Source organism: Homo sapiens, chromosome 14 (assembly GCF_000001405.40).
Source record: "Homo sapiens chromosome 14, GRCh38.p14 Primary Assembly".
Classification (NCBI taxonomy): Eukaryota; Metazoa; Chordata; class Mammalia; order Primates; family Hominidae; genus Homo; species Homo sapiens.
The window spans coordinates 70,555,601-70,580,687 of NC_000014.9; the positions used below are offsets into that span (position 1 = coordinate 70,555,601).

Below are 25,087 nucleotides of genomic sequence, written 5' to 3' on the forward strand. Positions count from 1 at the left end.
AACAACTTATTGAAAATTTAGTTTTACCTTCTTTTTTTCACGACAGACATTAAGGCGTGAACCAGCCTTGGCTATAATTTTCCATAGCCTCTTACAGTGTGGCCAAGATTCCCTACGTTTCTCTCTTCTGAATTTACTTTAATTTCCATCACCTCAGTGCAACTTTTTCTGCTGTCTCTACTCGTCCCTCTGCACCCTCTTACTTCTCCCTTTCAAACCACTTAGTTTCTGGTTCAATTCCCTCTTGTTTTCACCATCTACTTTCTCCGTTAAACCTCTCTCCTGCCAGCTTCCTCTCCCTAGAATCCCAGCCTTACCTGCAACAGTTCCTTTTAACGGACCAAGGACGAGAAACCACTCCCCGGATGCGGTGGCGGCCAACAAACCCACGAGGCAGGGCTCCCTCCTCCGAAGAGCATTTTCCGACTCTAGTCTCCAACGCCCACTTTCCTAGCAGTCACCAACCAAGTCTTTCCAGAAGGCAGCTGCCTGAAACATGTGCAGCCGGAAGGCTGCAGCAGGACGCTCTCCTGCTGTTCGGGAGACGCTCCTGGTCCCTGCCAGCGGCGCACAAACCAGGCCCTACTGGCGCTCTGCCCCGCCCAAGTGGTGATTCCCCAGAATTTTCCCAGGCGAAGTGGGGCCTTCAACAAGTCTGAGGGCTGTCTTAATGGCCTGCACCTGCCGGCGCCATACCCACATCATTGGTTTAAGGCCTAAAAGGCTCTTCCTTTCCAGGCACCTCCTAGTGTTCACCTGCACGGAGCAGTACGCTCCCCACGAGGAAAAGCCCTTTGTCCAAGATGACTGCTACTATCACGGTTATATGGAGCCCCCAGCCCCGAGTCTCTGGGAGTTCTCAGCACCCCTTTGGAAAACTATGGAGGGATGCACAGATACAGATAACCAAGCAAACTTATGAAATCGAGCCCATAAGGCATTTTACCACATATGTTCGAACACCAGATAAGATAGGATTCAATTGTCGCCATGAAATTGGCTTAACAAAAGAGGAAATACAGTTGACGCTTGAATAACGTGGATTTGAACTGTACAGGCCCACTCATGTGCGATTTTTTCAATAAATACAGTCGGCCCTCTGCAAACGCAGATGCAGAAAATACAGTATTCACAGAATGTGAAACCCACATATATGGAAAACCAACTTTTCGTATACACAGGTTCTGCAGGGCCAACTACAGGACTTAAGTATGCATGGATTTAGGTATACATGGGAGTATACCTCAAAAAACAAAAAGAAAGTGCGAGGTGGTGCCCTGAGGATCCCTGTGTATCAGATAGGACACTTTGTGGTCTACAGTGTCTACTCCTATCATAAAATATGCAACAGTCACAATAAACGATGTTGATATATTTTTGGCCAGACAGCAAGGAATGCCTCTCTGAGCTGCCATAAAAATTAATATACAAGGAGATCATTTCAGTCCCTGTGGCATGGAAGGTTTAATATACAAAAGATGCCCTTCGTCAAATAATTTGTGTGAGAGTGCACTGTGAAAACATATAAACAATTTCCAAGGTAAAACAACATAATGCTATAATTAAAAAATCAGTTAATGGTCCCAGGTGTTGGGGAACTATTACTTTGGAAGGGATACAGTTGATATTGGGCAAGTAAAAGACGGCACTTTGTGTGGTCTAGAAAAGATATATATGAGAAGGAGCTATGTCAATTATTCTATATATGACTGCAAATTGGAGAAATGTCATAAGATTGCCACGGTTTATATGGGTGGACCCTACCTACTGTGAGTTTACCGGCTATGGAAGAAGCTCAAACAGTGGTTCAGCTCTATGGGGTAGTCTCCTTCCCCAACTATTAACAATTCTTTGCACCGTAATTCTACTCACACTCTTTTGCCTTGCCTCATTATCTTACACTTTTATCAGAGTACTGCTTTCAACAAAGTTTTTACTCAAGAAAATGTCATTAGGATTTAAATAGGAAATAGAAGTATTACAAAGTATTCACTTATTCAAAGAAAACATTTTTGGAAAGAGAAGATAGTGCATGATCACTGTCCAGTGACTTCCAGGTCATTAATTAAGACAAGCTTGTCCATGGGCTGCATGTGGGCCAGAATGGCTTTGAATGCAGCCCAACACAAATTCATAAACTTTCTTAAAACATTTTTTTTTTTTTGCAATTTTTTTAGCTCATCAGCTATTGTTAGTGTATTTTATGTGTGGCCCAAGATAATTTTTCTTCTAGTGTGACCCAGGGAAGCCAAAAGATTGGACACCCTTGATTAAGAAGATATGATCAAAGGCAGATTTTCTTGGTTCCTTGTATTTAATTGAAAGACAAACAGGCACTGAATTTTTTAAATTAAACATCTGATCCTTAAAAAGGACTCATTTCTCTCCATTTAAGGTAGGATTGCACTCAGTAGGAAATCCTGGAATGTGTTCCACTATTTTTATCATATTAGCTCTGTGGATATACCCTTTAACCAGATATAAGGTAACAAGTGTGTGGCACAATCACAGAGACAGAATATTGACAGGTACAGCTTCCCTTTGTAAAATCTGAAGGAGAAATGGTAGAAGCAATCAAAGCAAAGAATAAGGATAACAAAATAGCCATAAAGGGACAAAAATTATAAAGAGATATAAAAAGTCTTGTAGTCAAATACAAGGATTTTGTAGAAAGCCCAGGATCTCCAGTGAAGTAGTTTCAAAAAGGAATCTGGTAAGAAAACATACATAGATCGGATTTGATATTTACTACCCTGGCTACTAGAAAGGAACCCTGGAGATTCTAGCTGTCTTTAGCTGCCAATTAGATATCTGGATAATGATGCTGGTGAATTACTTAACTTTCAAACATATGTATCTGTGTGCCTGTGTGTTATACATGTATGAATGTGTGTGTGTGTGTGTGGTGCCAAGTACAGTGTTCAGAGTTGTAGAGTCTCCTGCCCTCAGAGTTGCTCATTGTCCAGCTGGGAGAAACAGATAAGAGTACAGAACTATAGTGGAGTGGGGTAAATGCTATAACATGGGTGTGCACAGTGTTCTTGGAAGTACAAGTTATTGGAGGGGAGACATGAAAATGAAGTAAAAATAAATAAAATATACAAATAAAAGTGGGGAGGCAGAATACACACATTTCAGGCAAAGGGAAAAACATTTGCCAAATAAACAAACAACAAACAAAAAACTAAGCATTTGACAGAGTTGATGACTTCTTCCTCTTTGAATTGCTTTCTTCATTTGGTTTCCATGGGATCACTTCAGTAGCTGCTACTTCTCATATTCATTTGCTATTATTTTATATCTTCCCTATCTTCCCTAACACTAAGTGTTGTTAGAGTTCCAGTGCTCAGTCCTTGGACATCTTTTTAACTCTCTCTGTACTCATTCTATTGTACTCATTCTATTGATGATCTCATCCATCTCATGGTATTAAAGACCATATATATTCTATGATGCCAAAATGTATATCTCCTGCCTGGGACTTCTGTAAAACCTAAATTCAACCTAAAAACTGCCTACATGGCATCATCACTTGAAATGTCTAATTGGCATCTGAAAATAAATATGTCCAAAGTGAATTCTTTAGCTCCCTCCTCCCACCACCTCCTCCCTAAACCTGCTTAACACACAGCCTTCCCCATCTCAGTTAATCCCAACTCTATCCTTCAAGTTGCCTAGAAAAAAAAAAAAGCTTACAGTCATCCTTAATTCCTTTTTTTTTTCATCATACCACACAACCGATCTGTCAGCAAATCCTGTTGTTTTAACCTTCAAAATCTAATCACTTCTCACCATCCCCATCATTATCACCCTGGTCAAATTCACCATTGTTTCCCACCTTGATTATTGCCTTAGCCTCCTAACATGTCTCCTGCATCCATTCTTATACTCGACACTCAATTCCCATATATCAGGGAAGTTCTGTTTTAATATGAGTCATATCATATCATTACTTTGCTCAGAATGCTCCAGTGGCTTCCCATCTTATTCATAGTAAAAGTCTGTACAATGCTTTACAAGGTTGTACCCAATATACCTCCTGCCATCACTATCGCTCTCTCCTTTTTTACCTAATTCATGTCCTATTTATTCTTCCCTTTGTTCATTTCAGCTGGTCTCCTTGCTGATCCACTAACAGACCAAAGCATACACCCATCTCAGGGTCTTTATTCTTGCTGCTCCTTTGACCTGTGTAGATGGAGGGAAGGAAAGCAGGAGAGAGGTAAAGATGAAGAAAGGAAAGAAGCAAGCAAGGGATGGATGATCCATGAAGTAAATCCATTTGAATAAAGGAATGTATTTAAATAACTAGGCTATGACCAAGATAGGGAGGTTATTCTTTTATTGCTCTTGTGTTAATAATAATTATTATGTTATTGTGTCATCCATTAACCTAATTCACTACATTAAGAATAAAGGGGAGAAAATGTAGGAAAATCTAAAGCATTCTCAAAATATGTTTTCATCCAACTCAATACTCATCCAATATAAAATTTATTAAAAGCTGTGAATAAAAAATATTCATAGAAAATAATCTGGAGTATTAAAAGACATTCATGAATGAGGTAAAGATGTTGCCTGGAATAACTGTTTGTCAATATTTTAATGGCAATCTTAAATGTATTACTAAAACAGAAAGGAAATAGAAATAAAAACATGAAACTATCACTATTTATGAACTTTCTGATAGTCTACCTAGAATACAAAAAAGGCTCAATCAAAAAAGATTTTATAATGGTCCAGGCACATGGCTGAATAAAGATGCTAATAAACACTCCAAAACCAGCAGCTTTCCAGTAACATATCAAAAACCACTTAGCAAATGTAATGGGGGTAGGGAGGGAGATCTTATTCACAATATCAACTAAAATTATAAAACACCTATGAGCAAACCTGAAAAGAAATGTGACAGACTCATAGAAAAAAATTATAAAATTTTTTCAAAAATCAGAAAACATATGGTTTAGATTTGTGTCCCCACCCAAATCTCATGTTGAATTGGAGGAAAGGCCTGGTGGGAGATGATTGGATCATGGGGTGGATTTCCCTCTTGCTGTTCTCATGATAATGATTCTCATGAGATCTGATGGTTTAAGAGTGTGTGTAGCACTTCCCCCTTCACTCTCTCTCTCTTGCCACCATGTAAAGAAAGTGCTTGCTTCCCCTTCACCTTCCACCATGATTGTAAGTTTCCTGAGGCCTCCCAGTCATGCTTCTTGTTAAGCCTTCAGAACTGTGAGTCAATTAAACCTCCTTTCTTTATAAATTACCCAGCCTCAGGAAGTTCTTTATAGCAGTGTGAGAATGGACTAATACAGAAAACTGGTACCAGGAGTGGGGCTCTGCTATAAAGATACCTAAGAATGTGGAAGTGACTTTGGAACTAGGTAACATTCAGAGGTTGGAACAGTTTGGAGGGCTCAGAAGAAGACAGGAAGATATGGGAAAGTTTGGAACTTCCTAGAAACTTATTGAATGGCTTTTACCAAAATGCCTATAGTGATATGAACTATGAAGTCCAGGCTGAGGTGGTCTCAGATGGAGATGAGGAATTTATTGGGAACTGGAGTAAAGGTCACTCTTGCTATGCTTTAGCAAAGACACTGGTGGCATTTTGCCCCTGCCCTAGAAATCTATGTAACTTTGGACTTGAGAGAGATGATTTGGGGTATCTGGTGGAATAAATTTCTAAGCAGCAATGCATTCAAGATTTGACCTGGCTGTTTCTAAAAGTGTATGCACATATTCATGAAGAAAGAGATGGTGTGAAATTGGAACTTGTATTTAAAAGAGAAGCAGACCATAAAAGTTTAGAAAATTTGTAGTCTGACCATACAGTAGAAAAGAAAAACATTTCCTGGGGAGAAATTCAAGCCTGCTGCAGAAATTTGCATAAGTAAAGAGGAGCTGACTGTTAATAGCCAAGACAATGGGGAAAATGTCTGCAGGGTATTTCAGAGACCTCCCTGGCAGTCACTCTCATCACAGGTCTGGAGGCCTAGGAGAGAAGAATGGTTTTCTGGGCAAGGCCCAGGGCCCAACTGCTCTGTGCAGCCTTGGGACGTGGGAATGGCTGCATCCCAGCCATTCCAGCTCCAGCCATGGCTAAAAGGGGCCAAAGTACAGCTCGGGTCATGGCTTCAGAGAGTGCAAGCCCCAAGCCTTGGCAGCTTCCACATGGTGTTGGGCCTGCAGGATGCAGAAGGCAAGAGTTGAGGTTTGAAAACCTCTGCCTAGGTATCAGAGGATGTATGGAAATGCCTGGATGTCCAGGCAGAAGTCTGCAGCAGGGGCAGAGCCCTCATGGAGAATCTCTACTAGGGCAATGCAGAGGGGAAATGTGGGATTGGAGTCCCCACATAGAGTCCCCACTGGGGCACTGCCTAGTGGAACTGTGAGAAGAGGGCCACCATCCTCCAGACCCCAGAATGGCAGATCCATGGACAGCTTGAACCGAGCACATGGAGAAGACAGAGGCGCCCAATGCCAGCCCACAAAAGCAGCTGGGAGGAGGGCTGTACCCTGCAGAGCCATGGGGCAGAGCTGCCCAAGGCCTTGGGAGCCCATCCCTTGCATCAGCATGCCCTGAATGTGAGACATCATGTCAAAAGAGATTATTTTGGAGCTTTAAGATTTAATGACTGCCCTATTGGGTTTCAGAAGTGCATGCGGCCTATAGCCCCTTTGTGTTGGCCAATTTCTCCCATTTTGAATGGGAGCATGTATCTCCATTGTATCTTGGAAGTAACTTGTTTCTAATTTTACAGGCTCATAAATGGAAAGAATTTACCTTGTCTCAGATGAGACTTTGGATTGTGGACTTTTGAGTTAATGCTGAAATGAGTTAAAGCTGGGAGACTGTTGAGAAGGAATAATTGTATTTTTGCAATGTGAGAATGACATGAGATTTGGGAGAGGCCAGGGGTGAAATAATATGGTTTGGATTTGTGTCCCCATCCAAATCTCATGTTGGAGGAGGGGCTTGGTTGGAGGTGACTGGATCATAGGGCAGATTCCTCCCTTGCTGTTCTCATGATAGTGAGTGAGTTCTCACAAGATCAATGGTTTAACAGTGTGTAGCACTTCCCCCTTTTTTCTCTCTCTCCTGCCACCAAGTGAAGAAAGTGCTTGCTTCCCCTTCGCCTTCTGCCATGATTGTAAGTTTCCTGAGGCCTCCTAGTCATGCTTCCTGTTAAGCCTGTGGAACTGTGAGTCAATTAAACCTCCTTTCTTTATAAATTACCCAGTCTCAGGTAGTTCTTTATAGCAGTGTGAGAACAAACTAATAAAACTTCTGAATAAATGGAGAAATATATGTTTCTGAGTAAGAATTCTCAATGTTGGTAGCTTGTCATTTCTCTAAATTACATCTATTTCAATGTCTGCCAACCATACTCCCTACAGTAGGATATTCATTAACGAAACTTGACAACTTTCAATCAGCTTTGGATTCATATTCCTTAGCAATCTGAGAAGAATTCTCACAATTGCCATTTAGAAATCCAGAAATGAACACATTGTCACTGCTTGAGTCACATGACCATAACTGGACCAAATGAGATGACCCATTTGGCCAGGTCTAAGTCACACACCCTTCCCTGAAGCCAGAAGGAGAGTGACAGGTAATTAGCAGCCCTCATTACAACCTCACGACTGGAGTACACAGAAATGAACAATTCCCCAAAGGAAAAGGTTTGCTATATTGCAAGCAGGGGAGAGAGACATTCTAGGGGAAAAAAAGTAGATGTGTAGAGATGACATCAAGATGGCAGAGCAGGAACTCTGGTGTTGGTTTACCCTCAGAAACACAAAAATAATATTTGGACTGAAATACCTGTGTGAGAAACTTTTAATCCAGTTAAAAAACTGTGTTGTTCTACGCAAGAACAAAGCTGAGAAAACTTGCAACCAACATAGGAAGAAGAGTGATACAGTTTGGACATTTGTCCCCGCCTGCAACTCATGTTGAAATGTAATCCCCAGCGTTGGAGGTGGAACCTGTTAGGAGGTGTTTGAGTCACAGGATTGGATGTCTTATGGCTCTGTGGTATCCTTGTAATAGTGAGTGTATTCTCCCAAGACCTGGCTGCTGTAAAGTGTGGCACCTGCCCCCCTCCACTCTATTTCTTGCTCCTGCTTTTGCCATGTGACATGCAAGCTCCCACTTTACCTTCGCCATTAGTAAAACTCCCTGAAGCCTCCCTAGAAGCCAAGCAGATGCCAGCAGCTTCTAGTACAGCCTGCAGTACCATAAGCCAATTAATCTACTTTCTTTATCAATTACCTAATTTCAGGTATTTCTTTATAGCAATGAAAGAAGGGCCTAATACAAAGAGCAAACTTAATTTTCCCACATCAGTCCCTCCCCCAAACTGGCTTAGTTCAGAGCCAGAGGATCACCTCAGCCCATGACTTCTCCCATGAGTGGGAAGGAGACAGTGAAGAGTGTGCCAGCTGCCTGGCCTACTGCCATTTCAGTGTACTCCCCAAGGGCTAATTTCTGTCATCTCACATTTGAAGCACTGAAAGACTGGTAGAGCCTGTGAGCCTGAGACAACTAGGAGCAAAACAGAGGGGGCAGGTAACTCTTACACCAGCGCTGCTGAGCAAGATTGGTAAAAGTCAGAGAACTAAGGCTTTCTCTTCAGGAGTGAGTGGGAAAAACAAACTGAGCTTTGTCCCCAAACTTTCAGTGCATTTCCAAGGGCCTGATTTCTATCTTGTCTCATACTTAGCATTAAAAACAGTAGAATCTAGATGCCTGGGACAGTTAAATGACTGGACCAGCCAGGAACAAGAGACGAAGGGAGGGTGCCTCTCTATAGTTTATACTGTTCTGCAACACAGGGAAAAAGTGTTGTTTCATCAAATGTGCAGACATGAATACAATCATATAAGAAACATGAAGAATCAAGAAAACATTGAAAAAAGGCAAGAAAATAGATCTCTACCAACTCACCCAAAATAAATGGGAATTTATGAAGTGAAAATGGGAATTTTCAAATACTGAAAATAATTCAGATTAATCATCCTAAAGAAGCTCAGTGAGATAAAAGAGAATGTTGATAGACAATTAAATTAAATCAAAAAATAAAACATGGACAAACTGAGAATATCAACAAAGAGATAGACGCAATTTTTTTTTTTTTTTTTTTTTTTTTTTTAGCCAGGCACAGTGGCTCACACCTGTAATCCCAGCTACTCAAGAGGCTGAAGTGGGAAGACTGCTTGAAGCCAGGATTTTAAGACCAGCCTGGGTGACACAGCAAGACCCCTTGTATAAAAAAATTTTTTTTTGATAGACAGGCATGGTAGTGTATGCCTGTAGTCCCAGCTACTCAGAAGACTGAGGCAGGAGGATTGCTTGAGCCCCGGAGTTTGAATCTGCAGTGAGCTATGCTCACACCACTGCACTCCAGCTCTGGGCAACAAACACAGCAAGACCTCATCTTAAAAATAACATAAAATAAAATAAATATAATTAAATTTTTAAAATACTAGAAAATTGGATTTTATTAAAGAATAACTGGATTTAAAAAATCGCAAGAGAGGTTCAACAGCAAACTTTTATCAAGCAGAAGACAGAATTTGAAAACTCGAGGATGGGCAATTTGAAATTACAGCCAGAACAGCAAAATGAAAAAATAATGAAAAGAAGTGAAGAAATCTTAAGGAAATCATGGTACTCCATCAAACCAATATATACATTATGGAAGGCCCAGAGGAGAAGAGAAAGAGAAAGCGGTAAAAACCCTAATTAAAAAAATGACTCAATAATTCCCAAATCTGGGCATGGAAATGAACATCCAGATTCATGAAGCCCAAACAGAATAAATCCAAAAAGGTCTAGAACAAGACATTATAGTCAAAATGTCAAAAATCAAAGACAACTACAGAATTTTCAAACCAGCAAGAGAAAAGTGACTCATTACAGGCAAAGGAGCTCCATAAGACTACTGGCAGATTCCTCATCAGAAACTATGCAGGCCAAGAGAGTGAGATGATATATACAGTCAGCCCTTCATATCGACATGTTCTGCATCTGGAGATTCAAGCAACTGTATAGCAAAACAAAAAACAATCTAACAATTAAAAATTTAAATAAAAAGTGTAATATAGTTAGAACAAATATTTATGTTGCATTTACATTTTATTGGGTATAATGAGTAATCTACAGCTGATGTAAAGTATACAGGAAGATGTACATGGTCTATATGCAAATACATTATTTTATACAACAGACTTTAGAATTTGTGGATTGTATTATCTGTGGAGTTTCCTGGATAACCCCACAGGTACCGGGGGATCACTACATATTTAAAGTGCTGAAAGAAAAAAAAAAAACTACTAACCAAGAGTGCTATACCCAGCAAAGCTGTCCTTCAGAAATGAAGGCAAGAAAAAATTTCCCAAACAAAAGCTGAGGAAGTTCATCACCACTATGTTTACCTTATGAAAAACGCTACATGAAGTTGCTCAAGTTGAAACAAAAAGACACTAAATAGCAACATGAAAGACCACAGGAGTATAAAACTCACTGGTTAGGGTAAATATATAAGTAAATATAGAATCTTCTAATATTGTAAAGTATGTAAGTCACTTTTAACCCTAATATAAATGTTAAAAGACAAAAGTACTAAGAACTATAACAATTAATGGATACACAATTTAAGATGTAAATTGTGACATCAATAACAAATAATTAAGGGAGAATAAATGGGTAGTTTTGTATGTGAGCATAGTTAAGCTGTTATCAGCTTAAAATAGACTGTTAGAAATATGTTTATGTAAGTCCCATGGTAACCAGAAAGGAAAAAACTTACAGGAGATACACAAAAGAGAAAGAGAAAAAAATCAAAGCACAACACTACAAAAATCAAGTCACCAAAGAAGACAAAAGGGGAGGAGAAGAAAGAAAGAAAAGAACTACAGAATAGACAGAAAAAAATTAATGAAATAGCAATAGTAAGCCCTTACCCATCAATAATTACTTTATATGTAAATCAATTAAATTCCCCAAACAAAAGACAAAGAGGAAGAATCTGGCAGAGATCAACCCCAGAGAAACCTGGAATCCTGCAGAAAAAGTAGGCGGGAGGCCGGGCGCGGTGGCTCACACTTGTAATCACAGCATTTTGGGAGGCCGAGGCAGGCAGATCACTTGAGGACAAGAGTTCAAGACCAGCCTGGCCAACATGGTGAAACCTCATCTCTATTAAAAATACAAAACAATTAGCCAGGCATTGTGGCAGGTGCCTATAATCCCAGCTACTCAAGAGGCTGAGGCAGGAGAATTGCTCGAACCCAGGAGGCGGAGGTTGCAGTGAGCCAAGATCATGCCATTGCAATCCAGCCTGGGCAACAAGAGCGATACTCCGTTCAAAAAAAAAAGGTGGGAATGCTGCTCTGCTCCCTTCACCCCTCTGACAATCTGCTGACCACCAAACTGTTGGGAACCCCTCTGTCCTCATGACCTAGGGCAAAGCTATCGGTGGTGACTTGGGAATTTCCCAGGGATAGAGAACCAGCTGGCTAGCTCCTGTAGGAATTCATGTACTCCCCTGACCCAAACTGAGATGACAGGTGCAATACTGGTGTAGATACCTAGTGGACCTCTGCCCTGCCTAGGGTTTCTCCGCCCTTGAGTCATCACACCACCAGAACCCTCACAAATATAACTTACAACCCACTCTGGCTTTGGCAAGCACAGGAGACTGATGGGCCCCCAGGAAGTTGTGAGGCCCCTGGAGATCTAACCACCAGCATGGGCTACCAACAAGGGAGTGCAGCCTACCAAAGTCCCCTTAGGACAAAGGGAATGTGGATGCAGCACTGATTGCTGAAGGAGGCAGTGCCAACACCAGGAAATGAACATGGAGAGAGGGACATCTCCCACCCATCCAATGCCATACACTATTGCAGACACAGCAGAGGTTCTTCCCACTGGGGGCTGGGGAATGCATTCGGAGAAAGCATTTTTTAAGCTTTTCACAGCAGCTCCATCCCTACTCAAAGTAAGCCCATGCTGCATGGGGTTTACTCGAATGGCGGGGCCTAACTCGCCCTCCCTACACAGAATGGCAGCATCCCAGCAACAGAGAACAGAGAAATCACAGAGTTGCCTGCCCTGAACTGGGGTAAGATACTCTGTCCAAGCCTTCAAGAGGGTGTTTCGGTGGCCCACAGCTGCTCTGCAACCAGGAACCAAAAGTATTTATGAACTAAGGTCGTGAGCTTTGCAACAGGGGCAAGATAGGGAAGCAGATGGCATTCCTGCTGACTCAGGATAAGGACCTGGTGCACCTCCCCAACCTTTCCTCCAAGATCTCAGCGGGCCCCAACAAGATTGCTTCCTGTTCCCACTGGCCCCCTAACCCCTCTCATGCCTCCTGTCAACACAGGTGCTACCACTTGACATCAGCCTGGGCATGAGCTGTCTCCTACTCTTAAGTGTCATCTCCATCTACTGGACTACAGCCTGAACTGCACCACCAAACAAAAAACCTGCTACCAGAAGGGCTTAGTGCTAGTCTGAGATAAGTTTCCTAAGACCTATGCACCTGCACTCTCAATCCCACAGGAAATAGTGTGTCCGCTCATATGTTCAATACATCGCTACAACAATCAGCATCTAAGAAAGTCACTACACAGAGGCTATCCACAACCAACGTACCCATATACAGCCTTGGCCCACTGAAAGTACCAATAAATGAAACAAAAAGATCATACACAACATACACCACAGTCATACCCTAAAGGGAAAAAGGATTGAAAAATTAAAAGATCCCATGCAAATGATAGCAAACTCAAAAATGAGAAGTAGCAGCTCCTCAGACGAGAAGGAATCAGCAAGAACTCTGGCAGTATAAAAAGCCAGGATGTCCTGACACCTCCAAAGGATTGCACCAACTCTCTAGTAATGGATACTAACCAAACTGAAAAATTTGAAATGATAAAATATTCAAAATAAGGATATCAAGGAAACTCAGTAAGATCCAAGAGAAAGTTGAAATCCAATACAAAGACACTAGAAAAATAATTCAGGGTATGAAAGACAAGATAGCTGTATTAAGAAAAAAACAAATAGAACTTCTGAAATTGAAAATTTTGCTAAAGGAATTTCAAAATACAGCTGGAAGTTTTAATAACAGATTACACAAAGCAGAAGAAAGAATTTCAGAACTTGAAGGCTGGTCCTTCAAATTAACCCAGATAAAGCAAAAAAAAGAACAAAGCCTTTGGAAATACAAAGAAAAAGCAAGCAAATTGGAAAACATATTTGAGGAAATAATTCAGGAAAATTTCCCTAATCTTGCTAGAGAGGTCAAGAACCAGATATAAGAAACTGAGAGTACACCTGAGAGATACTATACAACACAACCGTTCCCAAGGTTAATACAAAAAAAAACCTTAAAGGTAGCTAGAGAAAAGGCCCAAATTACCTATAAAGGAAGTCCCATCAGACTAACAGCAGACTTCTCAGCAGAAACCTTACAAGCCAGAAGAGACTGAAGCCTATTTTTGCCTTCTTAAAGAAAAAAAAATGGCAGCCAAAAAGTTCATATCCTGCCAAACAGCTTCATAAATAAGGGAGAAATAAAGCCTTTATTAGAGAAGCAACTGTTAAGGGAATTTGTCTCCACCAGATAAGCCCTACAAGAAATATTCACAGAAGTTCTAAAGATGGAAACGAAAGAATGATACTGCTACCATAAAACAACACATAAGTACAAAGTTCTCAGATGCTACAAAACAATTACACAATTGAGACTACAAAACAACTAGCTAAGAAAGCTATGACAGAAATGAAACCTCACATATCGATATTAGTCTTACATGTAAATGGTCTAAATACCCTACTCAAAAGACACAGAGTGGCAAATTGGATTTAAAAAACAGTATTCTGCTGCCTTCAATAGATCTACCTCACAGGGAACGGCATTCCCACACTAAAAGTAAAGAAATGGAAAAACATCTATCATGCAAATGAAAAACAAACAAACAAAAAAGAGGATGAGTTGCTATTCTTGTAGCACATAAAACAGACTTTAAATGAACAAAGCTAAAAAAAGAAAATGAAAAAGATGGCATTATTTAATGATAAAACATTCAATTCAATCAAGAAGACTTAACTATCCTAACTATACCTGCACCCAATGTCAAAGTACCCATATTTATAAAACAAATACTAGTAGACTTCAGAGATACACAGTGAAACAATAATAGTGGGGGACTTCACTACCCCACTGACAGCATTAGACAGATCACTGAGGCAGAAAACTAACAAAAAAAAAAAAAAAAAAAAAAAAAAAAACACTCTGGACTTAAACTGGACTCTTGACCAAAAGTACCTAATAGACATCTACAGAATATTCCACCCAAGAACCGCAAATACCCACTTCTTTAATCATCTGTACATGCAACATTCTCTAAATTTGACCACAAGCTCGGTCATAAAGCAAGTCTCAATAAATGCAAAAAAACTGAAATCATATCAAGTATCTTCTTGGACAATACACCCACACCTCTTGAGTAAAGCAAAAGCAGTGTTTAAAGGAAAGTTTATACTGCTAAATGCCTACGTGAAAAGATAGATCTCAAATTAACAACCTAAGGTCATATCTAAAGGACTTAGGAAAACAAACCAAATCCAAAGGTATCAGAAAAAAAAGAAAGAAATATTAGAGAACTAAATGAAACTGAGACCAAAACAACAACAACAAAGCATCAACAAAATGAAAAGCTGGTTCATCGAAACAAAATTGATAGAGTGCTAGCAAGATTACTCAAGAAAAAAACGAACATTCAAATAACCACAATAAAAAATGATAAAGGTGACATTACAACTGATACCACAGAAAGAAAAAAGATCACCAGAGACTACTAGGAACATCTCTATGCACACAAACTAGGAAACCTAGGAGAAATGGATATATTCCTGGAAAAACACAACCTCCAAAGATTGAGCCAGAAAGATATTGAAATCTTGAACAGACGAATGAGTTAGATAATTAAATCGGTAATAAAAAATCTACCAACCAAAAAAAGCCCTGGGCAAGACAGAGTCACAGCCACATTCTACCAAATGTTCAAAAAGCTGGCACCAATCTTACTGAAACTGTTATAGGAAATCAAGGACAATTCCTCTCTGATTCATTCTACAAAACTAGCATCACCCTGGTATCAAAATCTAGCAAGGACACAGAAAAAAAAAACTACTGGTCAATATACTTTCTGAACATAGATGCAAAAATCTTCAACAACATACTAGCAAACTTAATTCAACATCATATCAACCAGATAATTCATCATGATCAAGTGGGCTTTATTTCTGGGAAACAAGGATCATTCAATATACACAAATCAATATTATTCACCACACAAACAGAATTAAAAACAAAACCTGTATGATCATCTCAACAGACACAGAAAAAGCATTCAATAGCATCCAGCATCCCTTCATAAAAACCTTCAACAAACTGGACATCGAAGGAACATACCTCAAAATAATAAAAGCCATTTATGACAAACCCACAGCTAACATCATACTGAATGGGCAAATTTGAATGAATTCCCCTTAAGAATGATAACAAGACAAGGATGTCCACTGATATGCTTTGGCTGTGTCCCCACCCAACTCTCAACTTGAGCTGTAGTTCCCACAATCCCCATGTGGTGTGGGAAGGACCCGGTAGGAGGTAATTGAATCATGGGGGTGGTTACCTCCATTCTGTTCTTGGGATAGTGAATCAGTTCTCACAGGATCTGATGGTTTTATAAGGGGCTTCCCCCGCCACCTTCTCTCTGCACTTCTCCTTCCTGCCATCATGTGAAGAAGAATGTGTCTGCTTTCCCTTATGCCATGATTGTAAGTTTCCTGAGGCCTCCCTATCCATGCTGAACTGTGAGTCAATTAAGCCTCTTTCCTTTATAAATTACCCAGTCTCAAGTATGTCTTTATAAGCAGCATCAGAATTGACTAATACATCCATTCTCCCCATGCCTATACAACATAGTACTGAAAGTCCTAGCTGGAGCAATCAGACAAGAGAAAGAAACAATAGACATCAAAATAGGAAAAGAGGGAGTCAAATTATCTCTGTTCACTGTTGACATAGTCCTGTACCTAGAAAACGTTAAAGATTCATCCAAAAGACTCCTAGACCTGATAAACAAATTCAGTAGTTTCAAGATACAAAAATCAATGTACAAAAATCAGTAGAATGTGCAGCAATAACATTCAAGCTGAGAACCAAATCAAGAACTCAATTCCATCTAGAAATAGCCACACACAAAAAATAAGTAGGAATATGTTTAACCAAGAAGGCGAAAGACCTCTACAAGGAGAACTACAAAACACTTTTGAAAGAAATTATAGATGATACAAACAAACGGAAAAACATTCCATGCTCATGGATTAGAAGAATCAATATAACTAAAATGACCAAACTGCCAAAAGATATCTACAGATTCAACACAATTCCTATGAAATTACCAATGTCATTTTTCACAGCACTACAAAAAAATTACGGAAACTTCACATGGCACCAAAAAAGAGCCTGATTAACCAAAGAAATCCCAAACAAAAATAAAGCTGGAGACATCACATTACCCAAATTCAAATTTTACTGCTACACTACAAAAACAGATGCATAGATGAATGGAATAGAATAGAGAACCCAGAAATAAAGCCACACCTCTACAACCATCTGATCTTTGACAAGGTTGGCAAAACCAATCAATGGTGAAAGGACTCCCTATTCAATAAATGGTGCTGGGGAAAACTGGCTAGCTATATAAAGAAGAATTAAACTGGACTTCTACCTCTCACCATATACAAAAATTAACTCAAATCAGATTAAAGACTCAACTGTAAGACCTCAAACTATAAAAATCCTAGAAGAAAACCTAGGGAAAACTCTTCTGGATTGGCCCAAGCAAAGAATTTATGACTAAGACCTCAAAAACAAATGCAACAAAAACAAAAATAGACAAATCAGACTTAATTCAACTGAAGAGCTTTAGCATAGCAAAAGAAACAGTTTCAACACAGTAAACAGCCAGCCTACAGATGGGTGAATATATTTGCAAACTACACATCTAACAAAGACTAATATCTATGATCTATAAGGAACATAAATCAACAAGAAAAAAAACCACCATTGAAAAGTAGGCAAAGGACATAAACAGATTTCTCAAAGGACATACAAGCAGCCAAAAAACATGAAAAAATGCTCAACATCACTAATCATCAGATAAAAATACAAATTAAAACCACAATGAGATATCATCTCACACTGGTAATATGGCTATTACTAAAAAGTAAAAAAAAAATAGATGTTGGTATGGCTGTAGAGAAGAGAATGCTTATAAATTGTTGGTAGAGAATGTGAATTAGTTCAACCCCTGTAGAAAAATAGTATGGAGAATTCTCAAAGAACTAAAATAGAACTACCATTTGACCCAGCAATCCCACTACTGGGTATATACTTAAAGGAAATGAAATCATTTTATCAAAAGGTCATGTGCACTTGTATGTTTATCACTGCACTATTCACAATAGCAAAATCATGCAATCAGCCTAAGTTTCTGTCAAAGGTGGATTGCATAAAGAAAATGTGGTACATATATACCATGGAATACTACACAGCCATAAAAAATGAGATTGTGTCCTTTGGAGCAACATGAATGCAGCTGGAGGCCATTACCCTAAGAGAATTAATGCAGAAACAGAAAATCAAATACTGCATGCTCTCACTTATCAATTGGCTAAACAATGGATACACAGGAGACATAAAGATAGAAATATTAGATACTAGGGATTCCAAGGGTGGGGGACGAAGATGGGAAAGAGTTGGAAAAACTACCTATTGGGTACTACGTTTATTATTTGGGTGATGGGTTCATTAGAAGCCCAAACCCTAGGATTACCCAATACACCAACATAACAAGCACCACCTGAATTTATAATTTTTTAAAAAAAGACAGAGTGGCTGAGTGACTACAAAAACAAGATCCAACCAGATGCTGCCTACAAGAGACTCTCTTTAGCTATAAGGGTGCATTTAAGCTGAAAGTGAAGGGATAGAAAAGATATTTCATGAAAATGGTAATTAAAAGAGCACAGAGGTGGCTATTCTTATATCAGACAAAATGGACTTTACATCAAAAACTGTCACAAGACACAAAAAAGATCATTGTATAATGATAAAAAGGTCAACTCATTAGGAAGACACAATTGCATATACCCAACATCAGGGCACCTAAAGATATAAAGCAAATATTAATAGAACAAAGAGGAAAGTAGATACCAATACAATAACAGATTTCAGTAGCCCACTCTCAACAGTGGAAAGGTCATCCAGACAGAAAATCAATAAAGAAACAGCAGACTTGAACAACACATTAAATCAAATAGACCTAACAGATTATATACAGAACAGTCTAGCCAACAGCAGTTCTTCTCAAGCACACACAGAACATTCTTTAGAAGATCACCTTAGGCCACATAACAAGTTTTAACAGATTAAAGAAGACTGAAATATTTTTTCAACAATTATATGAAACTAGAAATCAATAAGAGGAAAGGTAAAACATTCACAAACGTGGAAATTAATACTCCTGAACTACCAGTTGGTCAAAGAAAAAAATTTTAAATGTCTTGAGACAAATGAAAACACGACATACCAAAATTTGTAACAGGCAGCAAAAGCAGTACAAAGGGGAAATTTTATAGCAATATATGCTACATTAAGAAAGAAGAGGCCGGGCATGGTGGCTCTGTAATCCCAGCACTTTGGGAGGCCGAGGTGGGCAGATCATGAGGTCAGGAGATTGAGACCATCCTGGCTAACACGGTGAAACTCCGTCTCTACTAAAAATACAAAAAATTAGCCGGGCATGGTGGCGGGTGCGTGTAGTCCCAGCTACTCAGGAGGCTGAGGCAGGAGAATGGTGTGAACCCGGGAGGCAGAGCTTGCAGTGAGCCGAGATCGCACCACTGCACTCCAGCCTGGGGGACAGAGCGAGACTCCGTCTCAAAAAAAAAAAGAAAGAAAGAAAGAAGAAAGATCTCAAATAAACAAGCTAATGTTACATCTCAAGGAATTAGAGAAAAACGAAGCCTGGTGTTAGCAAAAGGAAGAAACAACAAAGATCAGGGCAGAAATAAATGAAATAGAGACTAGAAAAACAAATCAAACAAGTGAATTTTTAAAACGCAGCATATATATATAATGGTATACCATTCAACCTTAAAAAATAAGAAAATCCTGCCATTTGCAGTAACATAGATGAACCTAGAGGGCATTATGCTAAGTAAAAAAAGCCAATCACAAACACACACAAATACTAGATGAATCTACTTTAATGAAGCACCAAAAAAAGATACTAGACTCACAGAAGCAGAGAGTAGAATGGCAGTTGCCAGAGGATAGAGGGGGAAGAAACATGAAATTGTTTTTCAATTGGTATAAATTTTCTGTAACACGAGATAAATAAGTTCTAGAGATCTGCTGCACAACATAGTACCTACAGTTAACAATATTGTATTGTGTACTTTAAAATATATGTATGTATATATATATAAAATATAAATATATATATATTTTTTGAGGCAGAGTCTTGCTCGGTCACTCAGGTTGCAATGCAGTGACGTGATCTCAGCTCACTGAAACCTCCACCTCTCAGGTTCAAGCGATTCTTCTGCTTCAGCCTCCCTAGTTGCTGGGACTACAGGTGCACACCACCACACCCAGCTAATTTTTGTATTTTTAGTAGAGATGGGGTTTCAGGAGTTTGAGACCAGCCTGGCCAATATGGTGAAACCCTGTGTCTGCTTTTAAATACATTAAGTGAATAGATCCCACGTTAACTATTCTTTACAACACACCCATACCCACAAAAGAACACACAAAAAAATCTAGAGGCAACAGATATGTCTAATACCTTGTTCGTGGTAATGGTATCACCTAGTATATGCACATATACAAACTAAACAAGACATATAAAGTTGTAAAATTTTGTTTAAAATTATACCTCAGTAAAACTAAAAAATATGCATATTATTAAAATTTTCAGTTGAGAGTTTGTTCTCAAGGGACATGCTGTTCAAAGTGAGATCTGAGATATACATAAGTAACTATAATTCTAGGTAAAAATAAGTGTCATAAGGAAGGTATTACCAGACAACTATAGATCTTTAGAAGAGGGAAAGTTTTCTGGAAAGGCTTCTCAGAAAAGGTTGCATTTCAAAATGAGCCTTAAAAAGGAGACAAAAATTTGAATATACAATATGGATAGACAGAAGACCCAAGTAGAGTCAATTAATAGTGTTGTGTGAGATTTTTCAAAAATATTTAAAACTACATGTTAAGGAAAATACAACAGACTAAAGCTTACGGAATGCAGTTAGCATGTTTAACTCAATTCTAAAACTGCAAAAGAAAATCAAGCTGGCAAAATCAACAAGCTATGTATCCATCTCAAAAAGTTTAAAAAGAATAAAAATTAAAATAAATGAAAGTAGAATTGAGGCAATAATAAAGATCAGAAGTTAATAAAACAAAGATATCAACAGAAGTGTAGGTTTGTTCTTTGAAGATAAGAAAAAAAGTAAAACTTTACTAACACTGATCGGAAAAAGAGACAACTATCAATGCAACTGTCAGAAATTTTAGAAGGGGGCATAACAGCTTCTGCAGACGTTCAAATATCACACACTATTACAAACAACCTTTAGCCTTAACTTTAACTTTAATTTAGCCTTAACTTTAAATTTAAATAGACAAATTACTAACTAGAAAGATATAATTTACAAAAGCTGATAAAATTTTTTTTAAAAAATCTGAATAGGAAAGAAAATTAATCTACAACTAAAACTCTTCTATCCAAATATAATACAAGTTTCATTGCTAGATTCTACCACACTGGAGGAAGAAATAAGAAAACTCATTCATTCATTCATGTACTCAATAGCCATAAACAACTGACCCTCAGAAACTCAAGATCAACAGTGGATACTAACAAGCAGATGGCAATATCCGACATGTGCCATGTGCATGGAGTAATTCACAGAGAGCAGGGTAACAGAAGGAGGTCAGAACTACGTAGGGTACATAAAGAGGGTTGAGGAGGGACATGAGGGGGAAGGAGAATGGGCTTTGTAGCAGGTATTAGCAGTGCCCTGTGTTAAGCATGCCACTGAAACACTTACAAAAATAAATAGAATGACTTGCTAACGTTTTCCCGCTAGGGAAAGAGCTAGGATTAAGCTGCCTTCACAATAGACAGAAGGGGGATTCACAACCCAGTGAGACCAGAAAACTCAGGAAATGTTTCCCACAGTAAATGTTCCCTGAGCTGGGCTGTGAAGAATAAGCAAGAAGAAGGAAGGCAAAGAAAAGGGTAAGAAAGCCTAGGTACAAGAACAAGCATTCAAACACATAAAGGTCTTAGAAGCCCTTCCAGGAACCGCACTGTTTGGTATGCAAACTCTTTCATGGAAGAGAATATTTCCCAACTCATATGATGCTGACGTAACCTTGTTACCAAAATAAAAAAGAACTTACAGGAAAGAGAATATTACAGGCTAATCTTAAGTGTTAAATCAAGTGTAAAATCCTAAACCAAATCTCAGCAAATTAAACTCAATAGTACATAAAAAAATAATATCATGAAAAAGTGGGGTTTATTCCTGAAATACAACATCGGTTAACATTTGGATGAAAATGAAAACAGTGTAATCCATCATCTTATCAGAAGAAAAGAGAAGTATCATCTGTTATCTCAACAGATGCTCCTCCCAAAAAAGTACATATAAAATGTGTTTGATAAAATTGAAAACTACTAGATTTCCACTGTCTGCCACAGTGGAGTAACTGGCACCAAATACGTCCTCACATCATAAGAACTAGAACACTAGAACAAATATATGAAACAACTACTTTCAAGCCTTGAAAGAAAAATGGTTGGCACAGAACTATAACCCCTAAAATTCATTTGAAACATAACAAAATTGGAGTTCTCACACATCCTGATTTCAAAACTTACCACAAAACTACAGTAATCAAAAACAGTGTAGTACTGGTATACAGACAGACGTATGGACCAACGGAATACCATAGAGTCTCTCAAATACAAGGTCAATCGTTTTTGACAAGTGCCAAGACTATTCAATGGAAAAAATAGTCTTTTCAACAAATGGAGTTGGGAAAACCGGATATACACATGCAAAAGAACAAGCTGGACTCTTACTTTACAGTATATTCAAAAATTAACTCAAAATGGATCAAAGAACTAAATGTAAGCGCTTAAACTGGAAAACACTTAGAAGAAAACATAAGGGAAGCACTTGATGCCATTGGATTTGGCAGTGATTTCTTGGATGACACCAAAAGCACAGGTAATAGAAGAAATAATAAATTGGACGTTAGAAAAATTAAAGTTTTTTGTACATCAATGGACACTATCAACAGAATGAAAAACAACTCACACAGAATAGGAGAAAATCTTTGTGAATCATAAAACTAATACTGAATTCACATCCAGAATATATAAAAGAACTTCTACAATTCAAAACCACCAAAAAAAATCATTTTTTAAAATGATCTTTGACAAAGTCAACAAAAATAAATGCTGGGGAAAGGATACCCTATTCAGTAAGTGGTGCAGGAAAAACTGACTAGGTATATGCAGAAGAATGAAATTGGGCCTCTAATACTCACCATATACAAAAACTACCTCAGGATGTGCCAAAGACTCAAATGTAAGACCTCAAATTATAAAGATCCTAGAAGAAAATCTAGGGAAAACTCTTCTGGACATTGGCCTAGGTGAAGAACTTATGACTAAGACCTCAAAGGCAAATGCAACAAAAACAAAAAATAGACAAATGAGACTCACTTGAACTACAGCGTCTGCACAGCGAAAGAAACAATCAACAGAATAAGCAGACAACCTGCAGACTGGGAGAAATTATTTGCACATTATGCATCCAACAAAGCACTAATATCCAGAATCTATAAGGATCTTAAATAAATGAACAAGAATAAAACAAATAACATTAAAAGTGGGCAAAGGACATGAACAGATGCCTGTTTTTTAAATTTTAGATTCAGGAGGTACACATGGGGGTTTGATACAAGGGTATATTGTGTGATGCTGAGGTTTGGACTTCTAATGATGCTGTTGCCGAAGTAGGGAACATAGTACTTGATAAGTTTTTCAACGCTTGCCCCCCTCCCTCCCCACTTTTGGAATCTTAAGTGCTTATTGTTCCCATCTTTGTGTCTATGTGCACTCAATGTATAGCTCCCACTTGTAAGTCAGAACATGTGGTATTTGGTTTTCCATTTCTGTGTTAATTTGCTTAGGATGATGGCCTCCAGCTGCTTTCATGTTGCTGCAAAGGACATTATTTGATTCACTTTTATGGCTGCATAGTATTCCATGGTGTATAGGTACATTTTTAAAATCCAATCCACTCTTGATGGGCACCTTGACTGATTCCATGTCTTTGCTGTTGTTAATAGTGCTGCAATAAACATACAAGTGCAGGTGTCTTTTTGGTAGAATGAGCTACTTTCCTTTGGTAGGATACCCAGTAATGGGATTGCTGGGTCGAATGGGACTTCTATTTTTAGATCTTTGCAAAAATCTCCAAACTGCTTTCCACAGGTGCAGAAATAATTTACATTCCCACCAAGTGTGTAAGTGTTCCCTTTTCTCCACATCCTTGCCAACATCTGTTTTTTGACTTTTTAATAATAGCCATCCTGACTGACATGAGATGGTATCTCGTCGTGGTTTTAATTTGCATTTCTCTGATGATTAGTAATATTAAGCATTTTTTTCGTTTTTTGGCTGCTTGTATGTCTTTTTGGAAGTGTCTGCTCAAAAAGTCCTAGCCAGAGCAATTAGGCAAGACAAAGAATTAAAAGGCATACACATAGGGAAAAAAGGAAGTCAAAATATCTCTCTTCAGTGACAATATGATTCTATACCTAGAAAACTCTAAGGATTCTGCCAAAGACTCCTAGACATAATAAATAATTTAAGCAAAGTCTCAGGATACAAAATCAGCATATAAAAATCTGTAGGATTTCTATACACCAATAATGTTCAAGCTGCAAACCAAACCAAGAATGCAATTCCATTTATAATAGACACAAAACAAAATACCTAAGAATACATCATCCAACTAAGGAGGCAAAAGATCTCTATAATGAGAACCACAAAACATCGCTGAAAGAAATCATAGATGACACAAATAAATGGAAATGCATTCCACACTCATGGATTGGCCAAGGCAATCCTAAACAAAAGAATAAAGTCAGAAGCATCACATTATCCAACCTGAAACTATATTACAAGACTACAGTAACCAAAACAGCATAGTACTGGTACAAAAACAGACACATAGACCAATGGAACATAATAGAGGCCCCTGAAATAAAGCCACACACCTACAATCGATATTTGACAAAGTCAACAAAAATAAACAATAATAAAACACACACACACATCCAGTCTAAAAAATTAAATTTAAAAAAATGTTCAGAGCACTTGAATAGATGTTTCAAAAGGAGCTAAACTAATAGCCAATAAGCACATGAAAATCTTAATATCACTAGTCATTAGGGATTGCAAATCAAAACCAGAGTGATCCCAGCTTGCACCTATTAGGATAGCTATTAACAGAAAATCACAAGGATTGGTGAGGATGTGGAGAAATTGGAGCCCTCAGGGATTGCTGGTTGAAATGTAAAATGGTACAGCTGCCATTGAAAACAGCATGGTGGTTCCTCAAAAAGTTAAAAATAGAATTACCACTTCTGAATACACACACAAAAGAATTGGATGCAGGGACTCAAACAGATATTTGTACATCAGTGTTCATAGAAGCATTATTCACAATAGCCAAAAGATGGAAACAACTCAAATGTCCACTGAAAGATGAATAAACAAAACAAGATGTGTGTCCACACACATAGATACTGAAATATTACTCAGCCTTAAAAAGGAAATTCTGACACATGCTACAATACAGAATAACCCTTGAAGACATCATGCTAAGTCAAACGACAAA

The 25,087-nt window shown here is 38.4% G+C and overlaps 1 protein-coding gene and 1 pseudogene across 1 annotated transcript in view; one reads left to right on the plus strand and one right to left on the minus strand.

The window, feature by feature from the left end:
• ADAM20 (ADAM metallopeptidase domain 20) overlaps window positions 1-23,852 on the minus strand; it is a 57,095-nt gene extending 33,243 nt beyond the window's left edge. Inside the window, exon 1 of the mRNA XM_005268151.4 lies at window positions 28-23,852. The gene's annotated coding sequence lies outside the window, so the exon portion shown is untranslated. The remainder of the gene's footprint in view (window positions 1-27) is intronic.
• On the plus strand, window positions 1,271-1,894 carry LOC100420563 (ADAM metallopeptidase domain 20 pseudogene; annotated as a pseudogene).
• Window positions 23,853-25,087: the final 1,235 nt, after the last annotated feature.